We start from the raw sequence: 23,912 nt of genomic DNA on the forward strand, positions 1-23,912 counted from the left end.
CGGCAAATGGGTCTAAGGATCCCTACTTTATTAGATTGCTAGGGGATGGAATAAGGGAATGCATGCAAAACTCAGCAGTGGGCCTGGCCACAGGCCTCAGTACCATCTCCCCGTGGCTGGTCCCCATTCAGCAATCACAAGGCTTCGGGGGTAGAGAAACATGCTGAGGCCAGCACACTGAAACCATTACAGGTTTTGATTTTTTTTTCTCACCACTCTCCTCCCTCCTCAGTTCAGCTTTCTATTAAGGTATCCCAAAACACTAACGCAGCTCTTGGTGAAAGGAGAAAGGGAAAAAGTGGCCAAATCAAGGGGTCGGGGGACAGCAGGGCCAAGGTCAAACACCTCGTTGGTATAACATCTTTTAATTTGAGGAGGAGCTCAGTCCCCATTATTTTCAGTAAATTCTCAAACTATGCAGCTCTATGTTTCCTCTTCTACCCTTGTAGCATCAACTCTGCAGTTTGAAGTAAGGTTTTGCAAAACTTATGCAAAAAGTTTTCTTTTCTACAAGAGATGCTGAAGAAGTCACCTGGAATTTGCTAGTAGAACTATCAGTAAAATGAAGACAGCAATCCTGCCTTCAGCCCAACTCCACTGCCCAGAAAGGCTGGCACTGTGGGGACGAAGGGGGCAGTGGCAGCTCACCCTGATGCAGAGAGAGCGGCAAGGGACTCTGATGGTGAGTCAGCTGAGGGAAGCTGCTGGGGTCTCAGCACACCGTATAGAAAATCCCTCCAGCAACTTCAGAAAAACTGAATGAAAGGCCAAAGGTAACATAAACCGCCAGCTCTACCAACCACTCAGGCTGCAGACCAGACAAGGGAGTGGATTGTTCCCATGGTGGCTGCACCTTTCCTTCATTCTATTCCCGCTATCTTAGTTCACGCTGCCTGTGGATCAACTCGGGATCTCAGACACATCTCGTCACAATTATCAAGTGGCAAAAAAGGTGAGCCGCCATCCCCTTGGAGGTAAAGAAAGGCATGACGAAGTCTTAGGGCCAACAGGGGAACGAAGTCTTAGGGCCAACAGGGTTCCCCCGGTGTCTCTCCTGCAGCATGAAGGCCATTGTTTCCAGGGCCTGTGGCCAGGATCCAGTTATCTTGCCTGGAAGGATGTTCAAACAGCCATGGCCCGTGGTGGTTTTTTATAATGGTGTTGTTGGAAATTAGTAATACCATCCAGAGGTGAAAACAGAGTAGCACCTCCACAGCCTGCCCAGGAGATCAGGAATAATGAAGCCTCATTTTAGCATCTGTTTGTTTTGTTTTTTCAGCATTTGCGGGGAATGACAACAGAAATATTGGCTCCCTGACCCTGGAAGGGTGGAATCACTCCTTGTGGAAGGGAAAACGCCTGGAGCGGGGCAGGGGGCACAGGCCTGGAGGCGGCTCTAGGGAGAGGTAGGGGCTCTGGGCTGGCGGTCCCCCTGCTGGGGAGGACTCACCTTCACATACAGGAGAGAAACATCATCCCTGTGGCAGGGAAACCCGTGTGGTGGGCTGAGCTTCCTCGCTCCCTCTCTTTGAAGCTCTCTCAAGCCCCTCTGAGCATTTGCAATTGTACCCCCTTAGCTGCTGCCACCCTTCATCCGGATCCCCTCAAACACTCCACCCTCACACCCTGCAGAATCAGGAGAGAGGAACCCGCCTCCTGCGAGAGCCGCCGCCATCTGTAACGTTGCCCTCACCACCCAGAGGCGAGGAGGAGAGCCCCCCATCCCTCCCGTCCCTTCCCAGCTCCCGGCAGCCACTAGGCTTTCCCCTTCCCCGTCCTAAGGGACCTCCCGGGCTCTGCTCTCTCTGGGCAGGTTCAGGGCTTTGCAAGCGCTGCTGCTGCCACCATCAGGCTGACTGAGGCACTGCAGCCTTCACCTGGCGTCAGGGCCCAAAATAGTGCCCCAGCTCTTGGTGCGGCTTCAGAAGAACAGCTCCTCTCTGCCTCCGCAGTTGCCCCTCACTCAGGTGCAGCTTCCTATGTAAGAAAAAGGCTTCAGAGGGCATCTCCCTGAAGAAACAGAACTCCTTGTGAATGTGGGGTGGACCCCAGCGTCCTCTAGCAAGACGCAGAAAAAGTGCAGGTCCTAGGATTTAGGGAACGCAACCACTGAGGGATTAAGTGGTGGTTTTGCTTTCTTTGCCACAAGGTCAGTGAGGCAGGGAAGGGTGGGAATCACTCCTCCTGCCACTCCCGGATGAACGTGCTAAGCTTCCTGTGCAATGAACCAACCGGGCCCCAGTGTTACTCTGAAGCTGTCATTGCTCCCAGCATTGCCAAGGGTGACAGGTGGACTGTCACACTGCACCAGAGCCGAGTCACCTGTGACATTTGCAGGTGACTGACAGAAATGGGCACTGACATGCATTAAAGAACAGAAGGACGCGATGGTTTCCTGTTGAAGCTGAGCAGTGGGTGGCTTGGCAGAGGCTGTTTCTCTTGGCGTTGTCTCTGGTGACCCAAAGGGCATTCAAAGCCTTCCAGAAAGGAACAACTTCCTGCAGGGCACGTCCACACTTCACTTAGTCAGGTTCTTCTTCTGCCTCCTGCCAGGGGCCCTCTCAGCATCTCTCCATGTGCTGATATTACAAGCACTGCTGGCTTCTCCTCTCATTACCCCTCATTCCATTCCAATATTTCCACACTTATTCACAGCCTTCTATGTGCCCAATAGTGTGCTAGACACCAGGGGTGATAAAAGACTTGGATTTTAATCAACCAATTAAGAGAAGCAAAGTCCCTGCCTTTGCTTCCTTCCTTTTTATTATTATTATTATTATTATTTGTCAGAACAGCCACAAAAGGAGCTACTCAAGCAGTATGTCCTTAATTACTCTTCAGCCCCAAAGCCTGGCCTGTTATTTCCTCTGGAAACTTTGTACCCCGAGGTAAAACTGAATGCCAGAAAGATAAAGAAACTGACTCAGAAAGAGTCTGGAATAAAAAAGAAATTGAACTACAATGCTGCCTCCTTGTTCGAAGGTCAGACCTGGGATTCGGATGCATGATTTTCATAGGAAACTCCCTAAAATCCTTTTCCAGTCCTAGACACTGGGGATTGCCACAAATTATAAGACTATGACCTGTCTTATGACACCACAGCTTAGGATACTCTCCTGCATTTTTTAGTGTTGATGTGGAACAGCTGGATGTACCAGCATCTTGAGGAACATCAAGGCACATGAATAAGTGAACCAGACTGAAAATGACTTTAGTCAAGCAAAGTAACCTCTCTGGGGGTATGACAGCAATAATGCCCACTTCTCATTACTTCTGCTGATGAAATGAGGTAGTGCTTGTGAAAGCCACTCTGCAACTTATGAAGCTTTACACAAATGCTAGTTATCATCACCATCATCATCATAAGAACATAATTACTGCCACGACTAACAACACCCTCAACAACCAAAAGAATTTGCCAGGCACCTACAAGAAAATTTGCTGGCAAAGAGCAAATAGAATGCATCACCTACTCCCTAGGAATGTGTCATCCAAAATAAATAGATTGTTGCTAAGAGATAATATTCAGAGAATCTTACAGTTGGAGAGGTTTTGGACGTCATCTAGTCTACTCTCTAACCCATTTCTCAGGAATTGACTCCTACATTCCTGATGGCCTGAATTCCACCGTGAGTCAGAACACTCTCAGCAATGAGAGACTGTTCAGTGGGCCAGCCTTAGACTTGAGACTTACATATCCGCAGTCATGGAAATAACACTGTCTATTTCTTGCTGAACAATCGGGGTTTTGCTTCATCATTGAGCTTGTCCTGCCAGCCTCCACCAGTTCCTGAAGAGAACAGGCCAAAGTGTGGAACATACAGGTAGATCTGATGATATTCTCTACTCTTAAATGGAAGGGTACTCAGTGCCAGAGCCTTGTAAAACATTTCCAACATCTTCTGAGTAGAATTGTTTCACTTGTAACCTTGGTTTCCCTAAAGCCAGTATAACTTAGCTTCCTCTTGAGAACAAGAAAGACATCATCAGCAAAATGTCCCTAGGTTTTTGTGCTCACCTGCTCCAGTGCTGTTTCCTCTTCTGGTTAGCACCCATCTTCAATGTTAGGCTGCCTGCGCCTCTAACTAGCCAAGGGGATCCACAAACTGGCAAATCTCATTCCTCAATGCACTCTTTCTGCTCAAGTCCAGCGTGCAGCCAGCAGTCCTGCCTCTGTGTGTTTCCATGATCTTTTTTCTTCTCTTCCACATTCTTTAGCTAACACATCATTCTGGCATTCATCTACCCACCATCCTTCTGTGCCTCCTCTCTGGAATGTGGACTAACCATTAAGGTCAGTTCCCCCCATACTTATTCTCTTGCTCACTTCATCCATCAGCTAGAAAGAACGATTAAAAAGTATATTTCCATTCAATTTTACATTTTTAGCCCCATGTGAAACACAAGAAATACCAAGAAGTAAAAATAACATGTTGATCCCTAAACCCGTGATGTAGAGAGGACCACAAACCCATAGGCTACTAGCAATGTTTCTCAGGTGTTTACTTAATTATCTCAATCCATCCTCAAAAGATGTATAATGGCACCCATGGCCATTCACGAGTTGACTCTTCCCTTCCCAACCTTCCTCTCCCACTTCCCTAACACAGCAGCACTCTAGCCATCATACTGCCCATGGCTTCTGAACATATCGCATTCTGTTCTGCCTTTTGTATTTGCATACACTGTAAGGTATGTAAGAGACTGGAAATCGCTTTTCATGCTTCGTTTAGAGAACTCTTGAGCATCCTATAATATCAAGCATGATGTCATCTCCTCTGTGCAACCTTTTCTGATGCCTTTGCTGATCCACCTGTTTTCAGAACACTCTGACAGCTCTGAACCCATCATATTGTAACCTTAATCGAAGTGTCTGCTCCCCAACCAGACTAAGAGCTCTGGGGCAGAAACATGGTCTTCATTATCTTTGCATCAAAAGCCCCAGCACAGTGCCTACTGCATAGGAGGCCCACAGTGAGTGCTGGCTGAGTGGTCAAGGGCTGAGCCTTAGTGTCATAAAATGGTATTTGATCACAAAGGAAGGAGCAGCATATTTCACCCACTGAGACACTAGACTATGTGGAGCCCCTGGGGGAAAATGTGGAATAGTGACAGCGATGTTTGTTTGTTATTGCTGCAACTCTTGGCCTCAGATTTCAGATTCCAGTTGTCCAGGCATAAGTTAAAAAGAATCTGCATAAGTTAAAAAGAAACTTGCAACAACAATCCACTGAATACAGGCCAAGTGAGCAGACCATCTAGATAATTCAGCATGATGCGCACACATCCTTTCTTATACTGACATACATAGGCCATCCATTGCAGTTTTAGTTTCAATTATCAAAAAAAAAAAATCAGCCTCAGATAAATCTACTTTGCTTTGCCTATGAAGACAGGCAAAGAGTAGGGTGAGAGCATAGCTCCCATTTGAGAAAAGTGGCTGATTCTGGAGATATCACACTGATTTAACATTAAGTGGTGTGTGCGTGTGTGTGTGTGTATGTGTTCAGTAGGGGGTCAGGAGGGCGTGGGAAGGCTTCCAGATGCCAGGAAAAACCTGTCCAGGGGATGCAGGCAGGTGTCTGTGTTTGGCTGCCCCCTTTGCAGTTATTTCCAAGGAGAAGAAGGATGACTTCCTCTTTCCACCCTTCATGCCCCAACAGAACAGCTCCACACAGAGCAGATTCACCTATGCTGGCCATTATTTCCATGGCTTTAACTTGTTACCAAGTATGCCAAGGAATAGCTGACATTTATTTAATGTTCATAGTGGTGTTGACTGTGTACGCACTGAAACATTGTATGCTTATGGAAGACATTTGTTTCCAAGCAGCTTATGCTAAATTGCAGTGATATAAAGGAAACACTTATCCAATATTGACATTTACCAACTTCTAGAAGTATACAGCCAGAATACTCATTTTTACCACTGGGAGAGGAGAAAAAGAATTAAAAAGCATAATGGTCCTAGCTCCTTCAGTGAGTTAGAAGCTATGAGTGAATGAAAGTTAACGTGCAGTAGGGGGAGGTTCAATGGGGGAGAAGATCCCCCACCCTCTTGTGACCCTTGGCTCTATGGCACAGTGTGCTTTCTGAGAGGACTGAAGCCCTTCCGTGCTTCATAATAAAGCTTTGGCAGATGGCAGGACATAGCATCCCTTCCCCAACCATGAGAGAAGTATTCTGATGATCTATAAGGTATCTATGTTCTTACTTGACCTGCACTTCTAACTGGGTAAATTCTGACTTTCTCTTGGGAAAAGAAAATGACATGCAATGACGTATGGAACAGTACTGTGTCTCGGTGCAGTCGATTCTCACATCATTCCTCTAACTGGAAATAAAAATCCCACTCTACTTGGAATACAGGATGAAGCGATTACAACCTGGGCGCAGTATACTGGCTGGCTTTGCTGCTCACTCCCTTACGAATAGCTGTGATGGGATATGAAATCCAAGGGAACTGTTAGCCCCCCAGAGCAGCTGCTCCCACCGACCCTGCTCCAAGAGTGCTGGGATGTCCGCTGGCCTCGAGGCAAGACAAGAGCTCCAATCACTCTGCTGCAAGCGCCACCATTAAAGTCAAGATCACTGTGGTGGGGGGAGTTGAAGTGTGCATTCCAGCATGCTCATGATCTTACTGACCTTCTCCACTGATGAATTAGAACACCCCTCTTCCCAGGCACAGGACGAGTTCAGTGCCTCTCTGTTTCTTGATGGACCCCAATAAAAAAACGCCTGCACTGTTTTTCACCTAAGGTCATCTCGACAATTTACAAGGATAAGGATTGTAGCTGCAAAATAATGCCTATGCCCCTCTAGCCCCCTTAGCATCCCCCATCTATATCAAGACCATAAAACCAGTGCTTTTGGCCCTCCTCCTCACTCCTCCAGTATGGGCAATTTTCTTTTCCTCATCCATGTTTCCAAAACAGTTTATCTTTTTATCTCCTTGGAAGAAAAGTACTCCACAAATCAAAGGTATCATTAGTATTGTTATTATTTTGCTATTGAAATCTCTTCAATTCGCTCTGGATTATTCATGTGCTTTTTTGGGTCTGCAATATAATGCTGCCTAAGTCATCCCCACTGGGCTGAACAAAAAAGAAAAACTGCATCTTCGGGCCTAATCTCCTGCTCCACCCCATCTCCTGCTGGCCCTGGCTTCCACCAACACAGGCACACACCAGGCAGGGCTGCTTCTTGGTACCATGCCTAGCTTGCCGCTGCCTGTTCCAAGCCAAATCCTCCTCTGTACACCCAAGAGGGGGACCCCATGGTATCCTCTTAGAGCAATGTGAAGGCCTTGACCCCACCCCACTCGTCCTCCCCCTAGGGACTTTCTTTTCCATCCTCAATAGGTCTGGCTGGCAACTGAGGACTCCCTACTGGGATACAGACATGCAACCACCCCCATTTCCAACAGACATGCCCCAGTTTCCCCACCCGAAGATTTGTTAAAGAAGTGGTCCCACACCCTTGGCAGCTGTGTATTGACCTTCTGGCACAAAAGAACTGATTCTTCTTCCTCTAGACAAGACGTCATCCCACATGGGGTTCTGGTAGGAGGGAGAAACACACATTACTTCCCTCATCTTTTGTTTTATGACATTTCTGAGTGAGTGTAAGTGTTTCCAAAGTTGCTGTTCACTCCCCACTTTGTTTGCTGATTCCTTCTCTGCCTGTACCCCCTATGATCCCTCCATTCTTTAGGCCACCTCTGATGTGTTCAGGCTCTCTTCCGATGCCTCCCCAACCCTGCCCCTCCCAAGGGAACTCCTTGCTAGTTCAAGCCTCTTGAAGTGGCTCCTCCTTTTCCATGCTTCTTGTCATCTCCATGGCTCCCTTCACCCTGGCTGGCTCCCTCTGTTCACTCTATTTTACCCTTCTGTCTACGAGATGCCTTTCTATTCCCTAGGAGATTCAGATCACCATGACCCTCTGCCCTCTGACAGCTGCTGACAGCCCCTTTTGGTGTTTCCAGCCAGGCAGGAGAGCAAGTGGGCTGCTTAGATTCTTCCCAGTAGGGAGATGGTACCTCAAATGCATCCTTAGCTCAGGGATGCCATTAACAGGTAAATGCAAGTTTTCACTTTTACCCCAATACAGTACAGTGTGCATGCAAAGCCAAAAGATCTGGGTTCAGCAGAATTAGAACCTTCACAACCACAGAATCACAAGGCAGGACAGGACGCTCTAGGAATGCCAGAGCAAAATGCCAGAGAGTAGGGAAGAGACCACCTTTCTTAAGAGCGAGTGTCTGGAGTAGAAGGCGCCAAGTTCTTGCCACTGTGGCTCCCCTGTCTATCTCCCCTGTCTCCGAGGTGGAGATCAGAGATCTCCCTGGAGGCAGGGAGTCATCAGTCCTCTAGGACCTTATTCCCTCCAAGCTACCTAAGCTGTGCATGTGCAGGCTGGATGGGATGGGGCTTGAAGCTTAAGGAGGGCACAGAAGGAAATAGTTGTGGGTGAACTGAAATGATAAAGAGGAAAAAATATAGCAAGTTCTAAGTTTATGGATGACAAAAGAATCGATTATTTTTTCACCCAGGGGCAGAACATGTCTATTCTCAGCAGGAGGCAAATTGTGCTGTGACATTATCCCTCTCTGAACAAAGCATGACCGTCCTGACAGCTGAGGGAAGAGGCATCCACGGCAAGGGAGAAGCCCACAAGCAGTACACACTGGCAGCTCTCCATTCCCTTGTTGGGAGCCAGGCCTGGGGACTCTGGCGGGGGTGGAATCGGGAGGAATGTTATTTAGCCTTACTACTGCCACCTTAAGAAAGATAAAGAAATACTTGATCTCAATCTACATGAAAAGCCCAAACTTTCAAAGAATAGGGACCCACCATATTACTGATATTAATTATACATTGATTTCTGTTCTCTGTCTCTCTAAAAGGTTATAAGAAAAAGTAAAGGTAAACAAACATTTGACAAATTAGGAAGAAAAGGATGGCTGGAACGGACTTTAAGAGTTTATTTGTATCTTGAGAGCACTGCTTGGAGCACTCTCTCTGCACGGGGACCAAGATACTGGGAGCATGGAGCTTGGGAATCTTGTTCCCAGAAACTCCTAAGTGCCATGCAGATTCCCACTGTGAGATGTGTTGGACAGCAGATGGCCATGTCATCGGAGTGCCAGATAAGGCACTAAAAACAACCCTGGACATTTGTTGTCTCTGAGGGAAAGGCCATCCCCTGGGTCTCTTCACATTTCCTGGGAGAGGCATCCCAGCATGCAGGAGGCAGGGGTCAAGCAGGTGGCTGTGTGAGGGTGCCGGGTGGGGGGGTGTAACCTCAGGCCTCATTCTGGGGGATCACAGTGGAGCCATTTAGAGCCATGTGGGCTAGACCTCCCAGGACCTGTTAGACATGGATGCGTTCTATCCAATAAGTTGATGAATGCATGACACTGGGTAGAGGTGGGGCACAGTACATGAGCTAAGCATATATGTGAGGATGGTCAAATAGAATCCTCTGGGGAATTCATAATGCTCAAAACAACATCCACATAAACAAATTTCCACAGATCAAGGCAAAAGATAACCATATCACATTGCAGTGAAGTCCATAAAACACCTTCCCACTTGATGGCTGGACCCCTTGATTCCCATAGTCGGACACTGTCTATTCAAGAAGCACACCATGTACAGGGATGCAGGGTATCTGACCAGCCATGTCCACTTGGGTCTCCTCATTTTTGTTTAGACCTGTTTTCCAGCCTCTGGACCAGGTATCTACCATTTGGTAGGGTGGACAGTGATGGCCAAGCTCAGAACACTCCAGGAGCACAAGGCATTAAGAACTGCATGATGTTATGGTTTCTTCCTAGCGCTCTCAGGACTCGGGGTAGATAAAACAGAGCATTTAACCTCCATAGGTAAATATTTAAAGATTCACATGAAGCAGTCAAGAAACAGCTCCAGACCAAGAAAGAAATAAGCACAACAGAAGATGTACACTGTAATGATTCAGACGGCCAGGGAGGTACTTAGACACCTATAGCCTTCTTATGCCAATCTACATAAGTATCACGGATCAAGCTTCTAACTACACAAAAGGCTGATTAAAGCATGCACTGGTCCCATGCAAATGTGAGTTTGTGTGTTTACGGGGGGTTGGTTGGAAGATTCCCTCCTTCTCAGGGGTTCTATATCAAAACTTCCTGAGTGAACTGGTAAGAAGCAAAGACGAATGGGAGTGTGTGTGTGTGTGTGTGTGTGTGTGTGTGTGTGTGTGTGCTCATAAGCAAGCACATACACATCCAAGAAAGAGGGTAATCTTACCAAATGGTAATATAACTGAACCTGTCTCTATACCAGTGTTCTGAGAGAGTTCTTATTCATTCAGCCTGAAACTCTGGGGAAGGCAATTTATCTTCCTGCTGCTGTAGGGAGCCTTGGTGAGAAGCACACAACCATATGAATACATGAGTGTGTGTGTGTGTGTGTGTGTACATACATTATCATTATACACAGGCATTAGTATGCACATACAAATATGAAGAAGGAGCCCCTTCGGTTTCATCAGGAGGACCAGAAGCAAAGTTTGAACTGCACAGATAAGGAGAAAGTCTGCAGTGACCACAAGCACGGGTGGAAGAGCAGAAGAAGGAAGCCAGGTTTTTGCTTATATTTGGCTTCTCCCCGACAGGGGAGAAACAGAAGACATGCTGTTTGCTTGCAAAGCCAGCCACCCATGGCAGTGCTTTGCTTTCTCGAAAACTTTTACCCTTCATTTAATCAACAGATGGACGTGCTCTGTTGTGGATTTTTTCTGAGTCTTGCACCTCTAAGAGCTGTGTTGGCTGGCACAAATGCAGCCTCAGATGGCAGAGGTGCATTGGCATTCCAAAAGAGCGGGAAGGAGCCCATGTACTTGCCCCTCCAAACTCAATTCCACAGGTGACTTTTGATGCCTTTGGCCAACTAGGCACTCACATTCCCTCTCCCGAATTTCCCTCTCCTTTCTGCACCACTACCAGCCCCAGGGCTCCCAGTGGCAAGGAGCCTAGAGGTGGCAAAGTTCTTTCCGGAGAGTCCACCTGCTTCTCTGCCCCTGCTAGGCTGCAGAAAGGAAACCATCAGCACCACGGGCGAAATTTCATTTTATACCCTGAATTCAGTGCTGTGTAGGATTCAGAATTCAACCTAATTTAGGGAACTCGATGACGTTCAATGAAACTCTTTACAAGCTTTTCCCAACCACTGCAAATTACCCCCCACAATACATTCTGTAATTGCAACCCCCTTTTCAACGGTGCAAACCACACACATTCGCTTTTGAATACACTTGTGCAAGTCAAACCCTATTCAAGCTGAAATATCCACCTAAACCAAGCTCTCCCTCCCTGCCGTCTCCTTCCCTGGCCTGGGTCTGAAGGAGAGGAGGTGCCCAGAAGTTCAGAGCGGCATAACCACAGAGATACTACCTAATTAACATACCAGAAGCATAAAGAACTCATTTGCATTGGAGAGTTTGAGCTGGATATTGACAAGTGAGAGGAGAAAGTCATTCCCCTCCCCTCCCATACCCCTTCTTTCCAAAGGAAAATAAACAGTACCATTTTGTTGCATTCGCAAAGGCGAAGAGGCAATGCCAGAGCATCTCAGCCCGGCACCGAGAGACGCATCCATCAGTCCGAGTTCCCGAAGCCTGCCCACGTTCCTGCCCACAGCCTCCCGCGCCCTGACAACCCAGCCGACTTTCTTCCAACTCCAGCAGCGCAGGGGTCCTACCTTGACTGAAGAGGAAGAAGCAGACGAAGAGCAGATCGAGCTGGAAGGGTTTCATTCCTTAGCGCAGCGAAGGAAAGCCGGCGGGGTAACTTGGCTGTGGTTAGTTTCTCTTCCTTGGCGGCTCTCGGTGCTCAGCCTCCGCCGGTCCTCTCGGGTTCGCGCCTACCATCTGTCCGTCCGTGGGTCCCTCCGGGTGGCTTCGGTCTCTTTGTGCCTCTGGGTATCTGCAGCCAGCCGACACAAACTGCCTGTTCTTAGCCGCCTCGGGAAGCCGGGATTGTCAGCAATGTCCCCACTCGGAGAAGATCCATTCTCTGGCTCTTGGCATCCCAGGCACACGGCTTCCTCAGGCGGGCTCCTCCCACAGTGAGCGAGCGAGCTAGTGACGAGTGACAGAAGGACTCCTTTCACTGAAGCTGAGGCGAGGGGAGAGGGAGGGGAGACAGGTCATAATTAAAGAGGAAACACTCGGAAAAAGGAGATCTATGCAAAACGGACAGTGGGGGAAAAGGCTGTGTTCTTTCTTTTCCCTAAATAGGGAAAAATTCAGCTTTTGTCACCATTATTGACCAAAAGGCATCTTGAGCTTGGAGTGGAGCTGTGACTTTTTGTCCACACGATGTCCTGTTTAACAGTGAAGTTAAGGATGACTATCCACATGCATGTGCACAAAAACATGCACGCCCTGCCTTTGCAAAGGAACTGGAAACTGGGCTGAAAGGGAACTAGGAAGGGGGGGTGCGCATCTTTCCCTCGGAAGGACTTGGCCAATGTGTGCAGCGGGAGGCTCGGAGTTGGAGAAGAGATAAGCATGCTTTGCATTTCTGAGAGTTTCCTGTGGGTGGGTGGGTGGTTGTGGTGGGGGGGGGGGGTAGGTAATAAAACCTGAACATTTGGATCTTAGTTTGCTTTGCACTGCTCCTGGAAGACAAAATGCAGGAACTAAAGGGAAGGCAAGTAGGCTTGTGACACACACCCATTTATTATCATTATCCTGGTTTGTGCATTTCCTAACGAGGACAGGGGAGCAGCCTGTCTTTGCATTCAGAGCCTCTCCTCTAATGAGCGCTCCATCACTCTGAGCCTGTCTTTTCTCCAAGAGGTGCTGTGAGTCCAATTGCAAAGGAGAGGCCAAGGTCATAGACAACTGCGTCCTAAGGATCTTCAAGCCTTTTACCTGTCATGAAATTCACACTCCACACTCAAATCAAACTCGGTTTCCTCCAGGATATCAACATGAATTTATCTGGGTCTATTTACTTAATAGACATTTAGGCATGCTTGGTATAAGCAGGCCATGGAGGGAAGCAAAATAATAGGCACAGACCATGCCTTCAGAAGCTCATAATCTAGTGTGCAAGCAGAGTACACACACAAGATGCAAACTCTAAGGACATAACAAAACAACACAGAAAAATATTCAACGTTATGCACTGTGAGAAGGAGAGGTAAAGAGAGAGGAGAGGAAAATGAAAGACGCTCCCCTGACATGTGCCATTTAGCATTCAATTCTAAAATCAGTCATTACTGTCTTCAGTCCCTGGACCTTGGGGAGGTCTTTTGGGAAACTCTTAGCCTTTCCTCTTTCAGTAGTAGCACATCTTTTGAGGACTCTGCTCACTACAAGGCACATTCCAACTCCAAGTTTCCATGCGGATGTTAACTTTAAAAAATTATCCCTTGGTATTTGTGAACAAGAAAGAAAGAAGCAGGGGCATATAGAAGTGTGCTAGTAGGAGCTGACATCTGGTAGTTGACACCAAAGATCTACAAATTAGTAGGTGTCTGCTTTGTTGACTTTTCTATTCTTAACTTAATAGTTTATTTAACTGCATCCCTTAGAGGCTGTTAAACACAGCAAAGGGAAATTTGTAAGCAAACTTTGGGAGGAGAAACAGAAATGTTGAGCAACAGAAACTAAAAGGACACAAAAGAGGCAGCCCATTAGCTAAATTAACAAACAAGTTACTGAAGCAGTGTCAGCTGAGCCTGAGTCCATTAGCCTGGTGTAACAGATCATGCAATAAATGGAAGAGGCAAATCAAAAACACACAGAGGAGATGAAAAATAATTTTAAATAACATATGCCAAATAACACAGTAAGACTGAAAATAACTCTATGTATAGCGCCGTCACCTTAGTAGTAGCTTTGCATTAAGCCTATGGGGTTGTTGGGGAGAAATTTCAGGTGTCTGCGTGCCATTCTTGCAGGGAATAGGACAAATACTAGAATGCAGATTCTCTATCAAAGGTAGCAACATTTGACGTTTTAACTAAAGATTTATCCTTTAAGCTGTTGTTTAATTTTGAGTGCTAATTCCTCAATGGCCCAGGGCCCAGATTTGCTTAATTCAGCCCCCGAGGGAACTATTACAAAACCAGGGTCACAAGGCTAGTGAAGTGTGCAATACGCAATAATCAGGCACACGTACAGGTGTCTGCACTCCACACTCGCACTGACTCTTGGAAAGAAGAGGGGGGCCTGGGAGATCCAGGTTGGAAGGATCTTGTTTCGCTCTCCCATTGGCCCCCAACACTGGCCTCATGGCCCCCTTACTGGCTCCAGGCATCCCCCTCACCCCCACCAACGAGCCAGCTGGGCCTGTTCCCCTCTCCACTCCCCTCTACTCCCTCCCTGTAACCTCCGGTCTCCCGCAGAAAGAAAGAAAAAAAAAAAAGCTTGGATTAAGTGATGAGCTGCCCGCCTCTAAAAGGACCAGGAGGCGTATCAAGCCTGAGTGCCGGAAAACCCACGGCAATCTTCAGCAGCCACCACGTGGGGCAGAGAACGCGAGCAGTACCTGCAGGACCCACAGCCGGTCGGGCTCTGGCGCCAGCCTCGACGGCGGCCCCGCCATCTCCGCCCGGCTGCCCGCGGCCTCACCTCCTCCGGGGGCTCGGTTAGCCTCCTGGCGCTGCAAGGCTGCCTGCGCGCGGTTCGCTCCGGGGGAGGGAGGAGGAGGGAGGCGGCGAGGAGCCGACGGCTCCACCTGATGGAGAAGCGCGGAGAGTCCCTAGACCTCGGAGTGCGCTGCAAGAGGGGAGAGGAGAGAGACCGCCGCCCCTGCTGGAAGCCTTCGCGTCCGGGGGCGGCGCGCGGGGGAAGGGGTCTCTGGACAGTCGGTGGAGGCGGCAGCCCTACAGAGACAGCCGAAAGCCAGCAACTTGGAAAACCGCCCGAATTCTGGGTTTCTGCACATCCAGGCTGGCTCCAGGTCTCTTGTGCCCACCGTGCAAGCCGGCGGGATGCCAGCAGGTGGCATCCTCTCCAGCGTTTCTTCGCCAGGCGTGGAGTCCGGAGGCCGAATCCATCAGTCCCCAGCCCCCTCCCCAAGCCTCCGGTGCCAAGTGCTGGGTCCTGTGAGCCCCTGGCCCGCCCCCCACCTCCGCCAGCGGGGCGAGCCGGAGCTGGGTGACCCAGACCCTCGCGGAGGCGGGAGCCTACAGAGGATGCCGGCCGGCCCCAGGTTCTGCTGCTGGCTGGCCAAGAAGTGACAGGAGGGCAAGGCTCCCCCGGAAAGCGTCCAAGCCCTGCTCTCCTGCTCTTCCAAGCCTTGCTGCGTGTTGCCCCCAGGGTTTTCTGAGATCTGGGACGAAGAGAGTGATGTGCAAGGTTCTGGGTCCCGGTGCAGGAGTGAGGGGTACGGCTGTCGAGTGCTCGGAGCAGGCTGGCGTTTGGGCACACTGCAGACCTCAGCTCACCGCCACTTTCTCCTGACCTTCCTCGTGGCTGTCAGCCCAATGTCTATCATGTGTTATTCCCTCGGTTTGTTCAAAGGCCTGTTTTGGATACTTAAAGACATGTGGAATAACTATGAGAATTCCTGTTCCTGGAAAGTTTGTCCTCTAGTTGGAAAGAGGTATATACAGGTCTGTATGTGGGAAAATATTATAAAACATCTCACTGACATTTTAATAAGAGAAATTGCCCTGGATGGCATCTGTCTGGGCTCTTCCTTTCCATTAGAGATGCATCCTTCTAGGTTAGCTTGCTTGGGGCCCTGCAGGAAAGCTGCAGGATGAGGCAACAGTCTAGGGCCCCCACCTGGGCCCAGGCAACAGTCTAGGGCTCCCACCTGGGCCCAGTGTCCCCACTGTCCTATCCTTCTCCATCTTCCCCACTGCCATGCTGGCCAGGCTCACAGTCACAGCTATTCTGTGTTCATGAGACACCATTATCACCAAGAAGAGGGAGCGGCTCTTTTAAGAGATGGGCAGTCATCATGTACAGAGAATTGCCTGTTTAATGCCTCTTCACAGTATTTGTTGCAGAGATACATTAGAAACCGCATTCCCTTTTTGTTTTTCATATATCCTGCCAGTACTGGTTAAACCTCTTTTGTCCAGGGATTTAACACATTTTGAACAGCCTCCTACTGGGAGTTCAGGGTAACCTGACTCTCCAGTCGTAGGTAAGTTAATAAGGACTCCAAGCTACGTACACTTCCAGAGACCAGATGGTCGTCAGAGGTCCTCGCTGGGTGGCAGCCTTTATGACCTGGGCAGTCACAGTCTTCTAGCCTATTTCTTTTTCATTTATCTGAACCAGATTTCTTGCTTACTTCTGTGTAGGTGGATTACGAGACCTTAACCCTGCTCCCTGCAGTTGGTCTTTCCATTGCAGAGGGAAAGGGCTCAGAGAACCAGATATTCAACTTTCAGAAGCATCCCCTGAAGGGCAGGTTGTCTGCTCCCCTGATTCATTGAGGATCAGGCCTCATGGAGGGAGTCTGGTGAGCCTTTTGATGTGGCGCTGGCCTGGCCACTGCTAACCAATGTGGCCCCTTAATGAACCTGGGCACACCTTTCTTCATCTATTAAATGATGTGTTTGAGCCAGTGGATCTCCAGGATTCTTCAGAATCCTAAAATCACATTGTCTTCTGTTCCAGAGGCCACACCTTTCATCATGGAGTCAAATGGAAATGCTCTTTAATGCCATCAGTGTTAGGGCAGATTATTTCGAGTGGTGGGTCACTATCCCCAAAAAAACAAGTGAGCAAGTGACAACCCTGAGATCTGTGTGGGCCTCTCCACTGTCATTGGTTCTGACCTTTCCTCAAACTGCTTTGTGTTCATTCTACTCAGTCTGAGTGCCCTCAGTCTTTCCCCAACTTACTGAACTCATTGTCTTTCCCTTATCTCCTTGTTTCCCCAGAACCAGACCCCACATCCAGCCTTGGTTCTGGGTTCTAGAACAGACTTCCTTCAACATGCATCTACAACCATGTTGGATGCAAAATGCAAACATTTTATTAAAGTAAGGGAGTGGTGATGCCGGAGTGGCTAACTGGAAAAGACTTCCTTTAAAGGGAGCGAGGACAAGGATGCCTTGTACGTCTTCTGTCTTAATGTGAATCACACTTTACAGTAAAAATTGTTTAATCCTGTATTTTCTCTGATACCCTGGCAGCCCTATGAAGGTGGGGACAGCGCCCCTCTAGTTCACAGCCGTCTCCACAGCTCTTACCCAGGTAGGCAGTAGGCTCTCACTACGTACTGCTGAATGAATGGTAAAGTTTTACCTAGTGCCCCACATTCTATTTCCTGTTTTCTGAATCCAATTTAACTTATTCTTCCCTCTGTTATTAAACCATTGTCAAACATCTGGCATGTGCCTGCCACTGCTCTGGCTGTATTTTATGAGGATGGGTAATGAATTGAGCCTATATATAGTTTGCAAAATGTGGAAACACACTTTAAGAGGCATGGCACTAAAGAAATGAAAGATATTTTTATCTCTTCAGCATCATTCTGCACAAGGATACAATTCTCCAGCAGCGCTGTTTAAGAACAATAGACCTGTTTAGCCTTGACACGCTCATGCATGCAGGGCACTGGATACTCAATTCACATGGGAGCTGCATTCTCTATCTCAGCAAAGACCTGAAGAATGTGTAATTTACAGGGAAGAAAAGATATAAGAAATATTATGAAAGGAGATGGCAGTGCTCCATGCCTTGTGTCATTGCTGGCTGGGTGCGTAGGCCAGGACCTTCCGACAAGCTCTGGGGATGGCACCAAAGGCAAGCTTCAGCTTCATTCTTCAGGGTTTGAAACAGGTTGTGTGTCATTTTGGAATATACCATGTGCTCTTTTTGTGGATATGAATAGGCTAATTATGTGGAAATTATTGGAAGACAAAGTGAAATTCCAGTTACATGACTCATTTGTGATATTCAAAGTCTTAGAAATTATACTGCATTTATTCTTTTCCTCCATTCTTCTTTTTCATGCCCCTCCCCTGAGCCATCCCCCATACCCCCTACCTATGTTATAAATTAGTAAACTTTTATAGCAGCCAAGGGAGTGAAAGATCTCACTCAATGTTCCTTTAGGCTTTCTTCTTAGATGACGAGTTTTACTTTTCTTTTTATTTATTACATACAGTATTCCTTTTTCCTTCCCATCTTTATATAATAAAATTATATATAAGCATATTAGATTTAAGTAATATATGTAACATGCAAAGTTATATAAGTTCATATATATACAAAACTTTACATACACACCCAAAAAACTTTTCTATTACCATGCTAGCAATCAATGTGCCTCCTACCCAAATATTCCAAATTACTCAGCCCTAGACCAGATTTTCATCATCTCTACCTGAACTTACAGCATCCTCAACTCACTGCCTAGTCTGCAGACTAACAAAGACCCTCTCCACTGCCTAACCTACTGTTCTACCACATAAGTGCATTCCAAATGCAGTTCTGTAATATCATGCCCTTGCTTAAAAATGTGGATGGTTTCTGCCCTGATCTGCTCATACTGCCATAACAGAATATCATAGGCGGATGGCTTAAATAACAGAAATTCATGTTCTCACAGTTCTGGAGGCTGGGAGTCTAAGATCAGGATGCCAGCATGGCCAGGTTTTAGTGAAGGTTCTCTTCCTGGCTTGTGGATGGCTGCTTTCTCGCTGTGTCCTCACATGGCCTGTCCTCAAATGTGAGACATCTGTCTGTCCTCCTCTTCTCATAAGCAGACCAGTCCTATTGGATTAGGACCCCCCCCCCCCATATGACCACATTTAACCTTAATCGCCTCCTAAAAGCCCTAGCTCCAAATACAGTCACATTGGAGGTTAGGGCTTTAACCTATGACTTTTAGGAGGATACGATTCAGTTCATAGTAGTCACCAAGATAGAGCATAAACTTGTTATCATGATATATAGGGAGTGTCAAAGCAACATAGCTTTCCTGTCCTATTGCCAGTTCCCTCCTTCATAGCCTGAACCTCGGTCTTGCCAAATTCCTCTTTATTGATTAGAGACAGCAGACACTGTTACTCTTCCATACCTTTCTTATACTTGTTTCCTCATCCTGGTGTGTCTTTCTCCTTTCCTGTGTCTTTTTGCCTAGTAAATAGGTACTAATTGCTCGAGAATCAGCTGGAATGTCATCCATGAGAAGTTCACTTCACCTCTTCCTCCGCTCAGTCAAAAATGAATTGCCTATTCATCTAGGTTTCCACAGTATTCTTATAAACTCTTATTATAGAACTGTCAATATGCTAACTATTTATTTACATGTTTACCTTCCAAACTAGAGATGAGATTTTTAAGGCCAAGGACCACCTTTCAGAATTTATTTTTGCCTGTTTTAGAGTATATATGGGCCAATGCCTGGCGTATGGTAATTGCTTGCTAATGGTGTTTAAATAAAGAAAAATTCAGCAAAAACTCCTGATGTCCTTCCTGTGACCATCCAATCCCAAGCTTGAACTTTTCTTTCTTCATCAGCTGATGCCTTTAGATCAAACTAGATCTAGGAAATTTCATATCCATCTTCTGGATATGCAGCTGAAGGACTGGAGAGAAAGATTTCTGACTATACATTTTGAACCTGACCCACGTTCAGGCAAATGTGGGTAGTGGTGCCATCAGTGTGTATAAATCACAAGATTTATACAAGAGCCTAACTCTAGCTCTTGCATTAAAACAACAACAACAAACAAACAAGAAACCCGGCTTATTCATATTTCTTAATGGCACAATCCCAAATCAGTTGAGAAGCTATCATACTGTATAACAAGTATGCAGACATAGGTTCAAAGTAAATGAGGAAAGCCAACATTAATTTTTTCCACACTGAGTCCAATTTGAATTGAGTTGATGGTTCAGTGTTTTTCTGAGGTCTGCGTCTCTTCTTTGTCTTCTTCAGCTGCTGTCTGCCTGAGATTGGGAGCAGGCAGAGGCAGAGACTCCTCCTTCATTTTGTTTTGTTGTGCTAGCTCTTACTGGCACAACAAAATTGGTTTTTTATCGTATAAAAATAGAGGATATAGAATAATACAGTGGTTCCCAACAAGGGGTCCCTGGGCCAACAGCATCACATCCCCTGAGAATTGCAAATTTTTAGGCACCACCCTGGGACCTCCTGAATCAAAACCTCTGAGGTGGGGCCCAGATACCTGTTTTCTAACAAAACTCCTAGATAATTCTGATGCATATTACATTTGAGAATCAATGTTATTAGAACCACCATGGGCCATCACTTGACACCAACAATAACCAAGCTATGGCAAATACTGTTCTATCTATCTTCCCTGCTTCCTTCTGTCTCACTGGATTATTCTGAAGCAAACTCAGATATCATATCCTTTCATTCGTAATATTTCCACATGCGATAAGGGCTTTAATATGGATGGAAATAATACTTCATAGTATACGGTTGTCAGATATCTGATTTATCCTTAGACCATTCATCCTTAGAATACTCAACAGCCTTAATATGGTAGTTTTGGGTCAAAAAAGACAGTTCAACTGGATAATAGTGAAAAAGGACCTCTTTTTTGGAGGATTAAGAATTTATTATTTTAAAAATGATGAGTTTGATCATTATTAAAAGATGAATCTGAGAGTCTTAGTCTGTTCAGGCTGCTACAATGGAATATCATGGACTGGGTGGCTTAAACAACAGAAATTTATTTCTTAGTGTGCTGGAGGCTGGAAGTCCGAGATCAAAGTGCCTGCAGATCCACTGTCTGGTGAGGGCTTCCTGGTTTGCAGGTGGCCATCTGTATCCTCATGCTGCAGAGAGAAGAGAGAGGAAGCTCTCCTGTCTGTTCTCATAAGGGCACTAATCCTATTTGTAAGGCTCTGCCCTTATGACCTATTTACCTCCCAAAGGCTCCACTTCCTAATACCATCCCACTGGGGTTTAGGATTTCAACACATGCAATTGGGGGGAACACAAACATCCAGTCCATAACAATGGGGAAGAAAAATGAACCCACAAGAAGCAAGTCCTCAACTGAGACCCTGGCAAAATAATGTATGCCTTCACCTTGAACGAGACTGACTCCTTACCATTTATAAAAGTATTGCACTATCTGCTACGCATAGAGTATGTGATCTGATTGTTTCCCCAGAACTGTGATAGATTCACAATCTTTATCTATACTCTTCTGCCTGATCTTCATTCTGATCCATTTGCATTTGTATAAAAAGTGGTTAAAGGTAAAATGCAACCCATGACCTTGACCTAATCTTACCTGAAGAACCCAGGGGTAAACCAGTGACCCTCTTCTCATAAGCTGAGTGTGCAGAGATTACAAGGTAGCCAGTTAGGCTCATCACAGGCATATGTCACTCCCTGGTCTGCTCATGTCCTATTATACTCCACAAGTACTTACTACACTCTGAGAAACTCAAGAGAATATTTGTTCTCTTCTTCAGATGTCTGTGGCAAAAACTGACACTTGCACGGAGCATGATTTGATAGCAATATCTGCGAAGTGTCAGAAAGGGGAGGGGATCAATACCCTTAATTTACTTGGAATAATTCATTGCCTAACTGGAGTTTTCAGTGAGGGCAGACAAATTCCACACTAAACTAACTCACCCACCTGGATCGGGAGGAGGGCAGTGAATCCATCTTTTGAATGAGATGTAAAGCTGAGTTTCTTGCTTTCATTAATGACTCCCTTGGTCCTTCCTTTCTTGAGAAGAGGTGTTCATCCAGTCAGCCATGTTTGAAAATGGGAGATGGATGCTACTGACCGACAGCTCCCTTGCTTTTCCCCTGAGCTGATTGCTTTTGCAATCTGCCCTGATATTTGGGTATGTTGCTTGCTCAGAGGCTGTCAGTTTGGAGCTACATTCCACCTCAAGAGGAAGGAAAAATGTAGAAAGATTTTCTGTGCTGGAGAGTGATGGTGATTTTTCTTTCCTTTTAAGTCTAAACCAATAGAAAGCCCATTTTTCATGGGACGGGAAGTTAGAAATAACGAAGAACTGCACATGACATCAAGGGGAATCCTTGGGATGGTTTAATGAGGTCATTGAGTCCCTTTGTAATAAATATTCCAGAGGCACCTGGATTAAATTGCTCCACAGTGATCTCTCAACTTCCCATCTCATTGATCTGGCCAGTGTGTAAGATGATTTGAACTAGAGCTTTCTGTGTGGTAGCAATGATAGACCATGAGTTCTGAGTTTTTGAGAGAGAATCCATTGGAGTGTTTCTCCCTCATTAAGACACAACCATCTCTGGTAAATGCCTGGCCCAGGCATTGTGTTGACATGGGACTGGCAGGGGACAGGAACTTGAGATCCCAGTCAAGGCAGCTAAGGAGCTTGGAGAGGAGGCATGTAATTATAAGGCACTTTCAAATAATTATGCTATTACTGCCTAATTAAGAAGTGCCACTTTCCACTTTAACTACCTGAAATTCTGAGATCACCAAGCAATGGACCCTCTACTGAGCTTTGGCCTGCTCCCCATGGGAAAGGAAAAGGCACATAGTCAGAAAACACTAGGCTCTTGAGGGGGCCAGAAAGGTCGCCAGAGAGTAACCTGAAATGTTCAGGAGGTGAATCTCCCTTCCCTGCATTTGTCAAACATCTTACCTTTCTGTGCCTCATCTGAATTTGAATTATCTACAAAATGAGGGAAAGAATGCTTCTCTCCCTGGCTTGCTTGTCAGTAGGCTGGTAAACAAATCAAAATATAAATCTCTGTGAACATATTTTATCATCTGTTAAAATAGGGAAATTGATCAACAAACATTTGTTGAATTTTTACTTTCTCAAAGCACTGTAGGGGATGCAGAAGTTTCAAGACGTATAGTCCTCTGACTTCAAGTACCTTCCAACGCAGTTGAAGACCCAACACAGAGGCACTGATTGTTGGATTCAGCCAGCCATTTATTGATTCACTCAAATGTTCATGCCACAAATATTTCTCGAGCACCCACTTTGTGTAAGGCGCTTCATATAGGCACTTGCAACACAGAGATGAAAAAGATATCCATTCTGTCCTCAAGGAATCTGTTATAGTCCGGTGAGCTATAAAGTACAACAGTATAAGCTTTTAAGGGAAACTAAAAGTGATCCAGTGACACAGATATTCTGAAAAGGAAGCATTTTCTGTGTTTGGACAGAAGCATTTCACCAAGGGCCTCAGAGCAGAAAGAAACAGGATTCAAATCTGACATTAGTCCCGGTTAAATTAAAGACCCCGATACCCACTGCCCCATAGTTCTCCATTTCATGTTTCATCTTCCAAAACACAAGCATTAAAACCCCATGGGAGAAGCATCATTGTGGTGATAGAGGAGAAGATTAATTCCTAATTTTGATTTCCTTTGAACCATTTTTACTTGACTGAGTCAAACTTGCTATGGAAGATGATTCACTACTATCTATTTTAAATCATGATCAGGAAGCACAATGACACCCCAAAATGACAGAGGATGTGTTTCAAATGAAGAAATCTTAATTTTTAAAACTTTCTTTTTGAATAATTTGGTCCTTCCTTTTAGAACATAAGGGAAAGAAAATACTTAAAAAATTGTTAAAAAATTCACTACTGGTGATAGAATCCATATATTACTTATGTAAGCAAAAACTAAAAAAGACAATCTCATTTTGAAAAAATCAATGATTACAAAAGAATACCGAATGTGAATACTGAAAAAAATGTCTTTCACTCACCCTCATTCCAAATCTACTCCCAGGGGTAACCATTATCAGCAGTTTGGTGTGGACCTTCCTAGTCTTTTGTTATGTATTTGAATTCATATATAAGAAGGAGTTTCTACATGCACATGCATAAATAGAATCAGAAATATTATGTATTATTCTGCAATTACATCTTCTTCAAATTTAGCATATCTCGCAGGTTTTTCTAATGATAGCCTGCTTAAATATGCCTGAAG

At 46.1% G+C, this 23,912-nt stretch overlaps 1 protein-coding gene and 2 long non-coding RNA genes across 19 annotated transcripts in view; 2 read left to right on the forward strand and 1 right to left on the reverse strand.

The window, feature by feature from the left end:
* KIRREL3 (kirre like nephrin family adhesion molecule 3) overlaps nucleotides 1–14,684 on the reverse strand; it is a 580,037-nt gene extending 565,353 nt beyond the window's left edge. For 11 of the 17 annotated variants that reach the window (NM_001441262.1, NM_001441261.1, NM_001301097.2 and 8 more), the window contains exon 1: nucleotides 11,745–12,060. In NM_001441262.1, coding sequence (NP_001428191.1) covers nucleotides 11,745–11,799 — 55 coding nt within the window. In that variant the 5' untranslated portion in view covers nucleotides 11,800–12,060. Of the gene's footprint in view, nucleotides 1–11,569; nucleotides 12,161–14,545 lie in introns of those variants that run through there. The other 6 variants (NM_001441260.1, NM_001441259.1, NM_001441255.1 and 3 more) reach the window with 3 other exon arrangements.
* LOC105369558 (uncharacterized) lies at nucleotides 3,721–6,758 on the forward strand. The gene is made up of 2 exons (NR_188549.1): nucleotides 3,721–3,824; nucleotides 6,370–6,758. It is a non-coding gene; the product is annotated as an uncharacterized LOC105369558 (long non-coding RNA).
* Nucleotides 14,200–17,348, forward strand: KIRREL3-AS3 (KIRREL3 antisense RNA 3). The gene is made up of 3 exons (NR_040078.1): nucleotides 14,200–15,614; nucleotides 16,317–16,477; nucleotides 17,157–17,348. It is a non-coding gene; the product is annotated as a KIRREL3 antisense RNA 3 (long non-coding RNA).
* Nucleotides 17,349–23,912: the final 6,564 nt, after the last annotated feature.

The sequence above is a fragment of the Homo sapiens genome, chromosome 11 (assembly GCF_000001405.40).
Source record: "Homo sapiens chromosome 11, GRCh38.p14 Primary Assembly".
Taxonomy (NCBI): domain Eukaryota; kingdom Metazoa; phylum Chordata; class Mammalia; order Primates; family Hominidae; genus Homo; species Homo sapiens.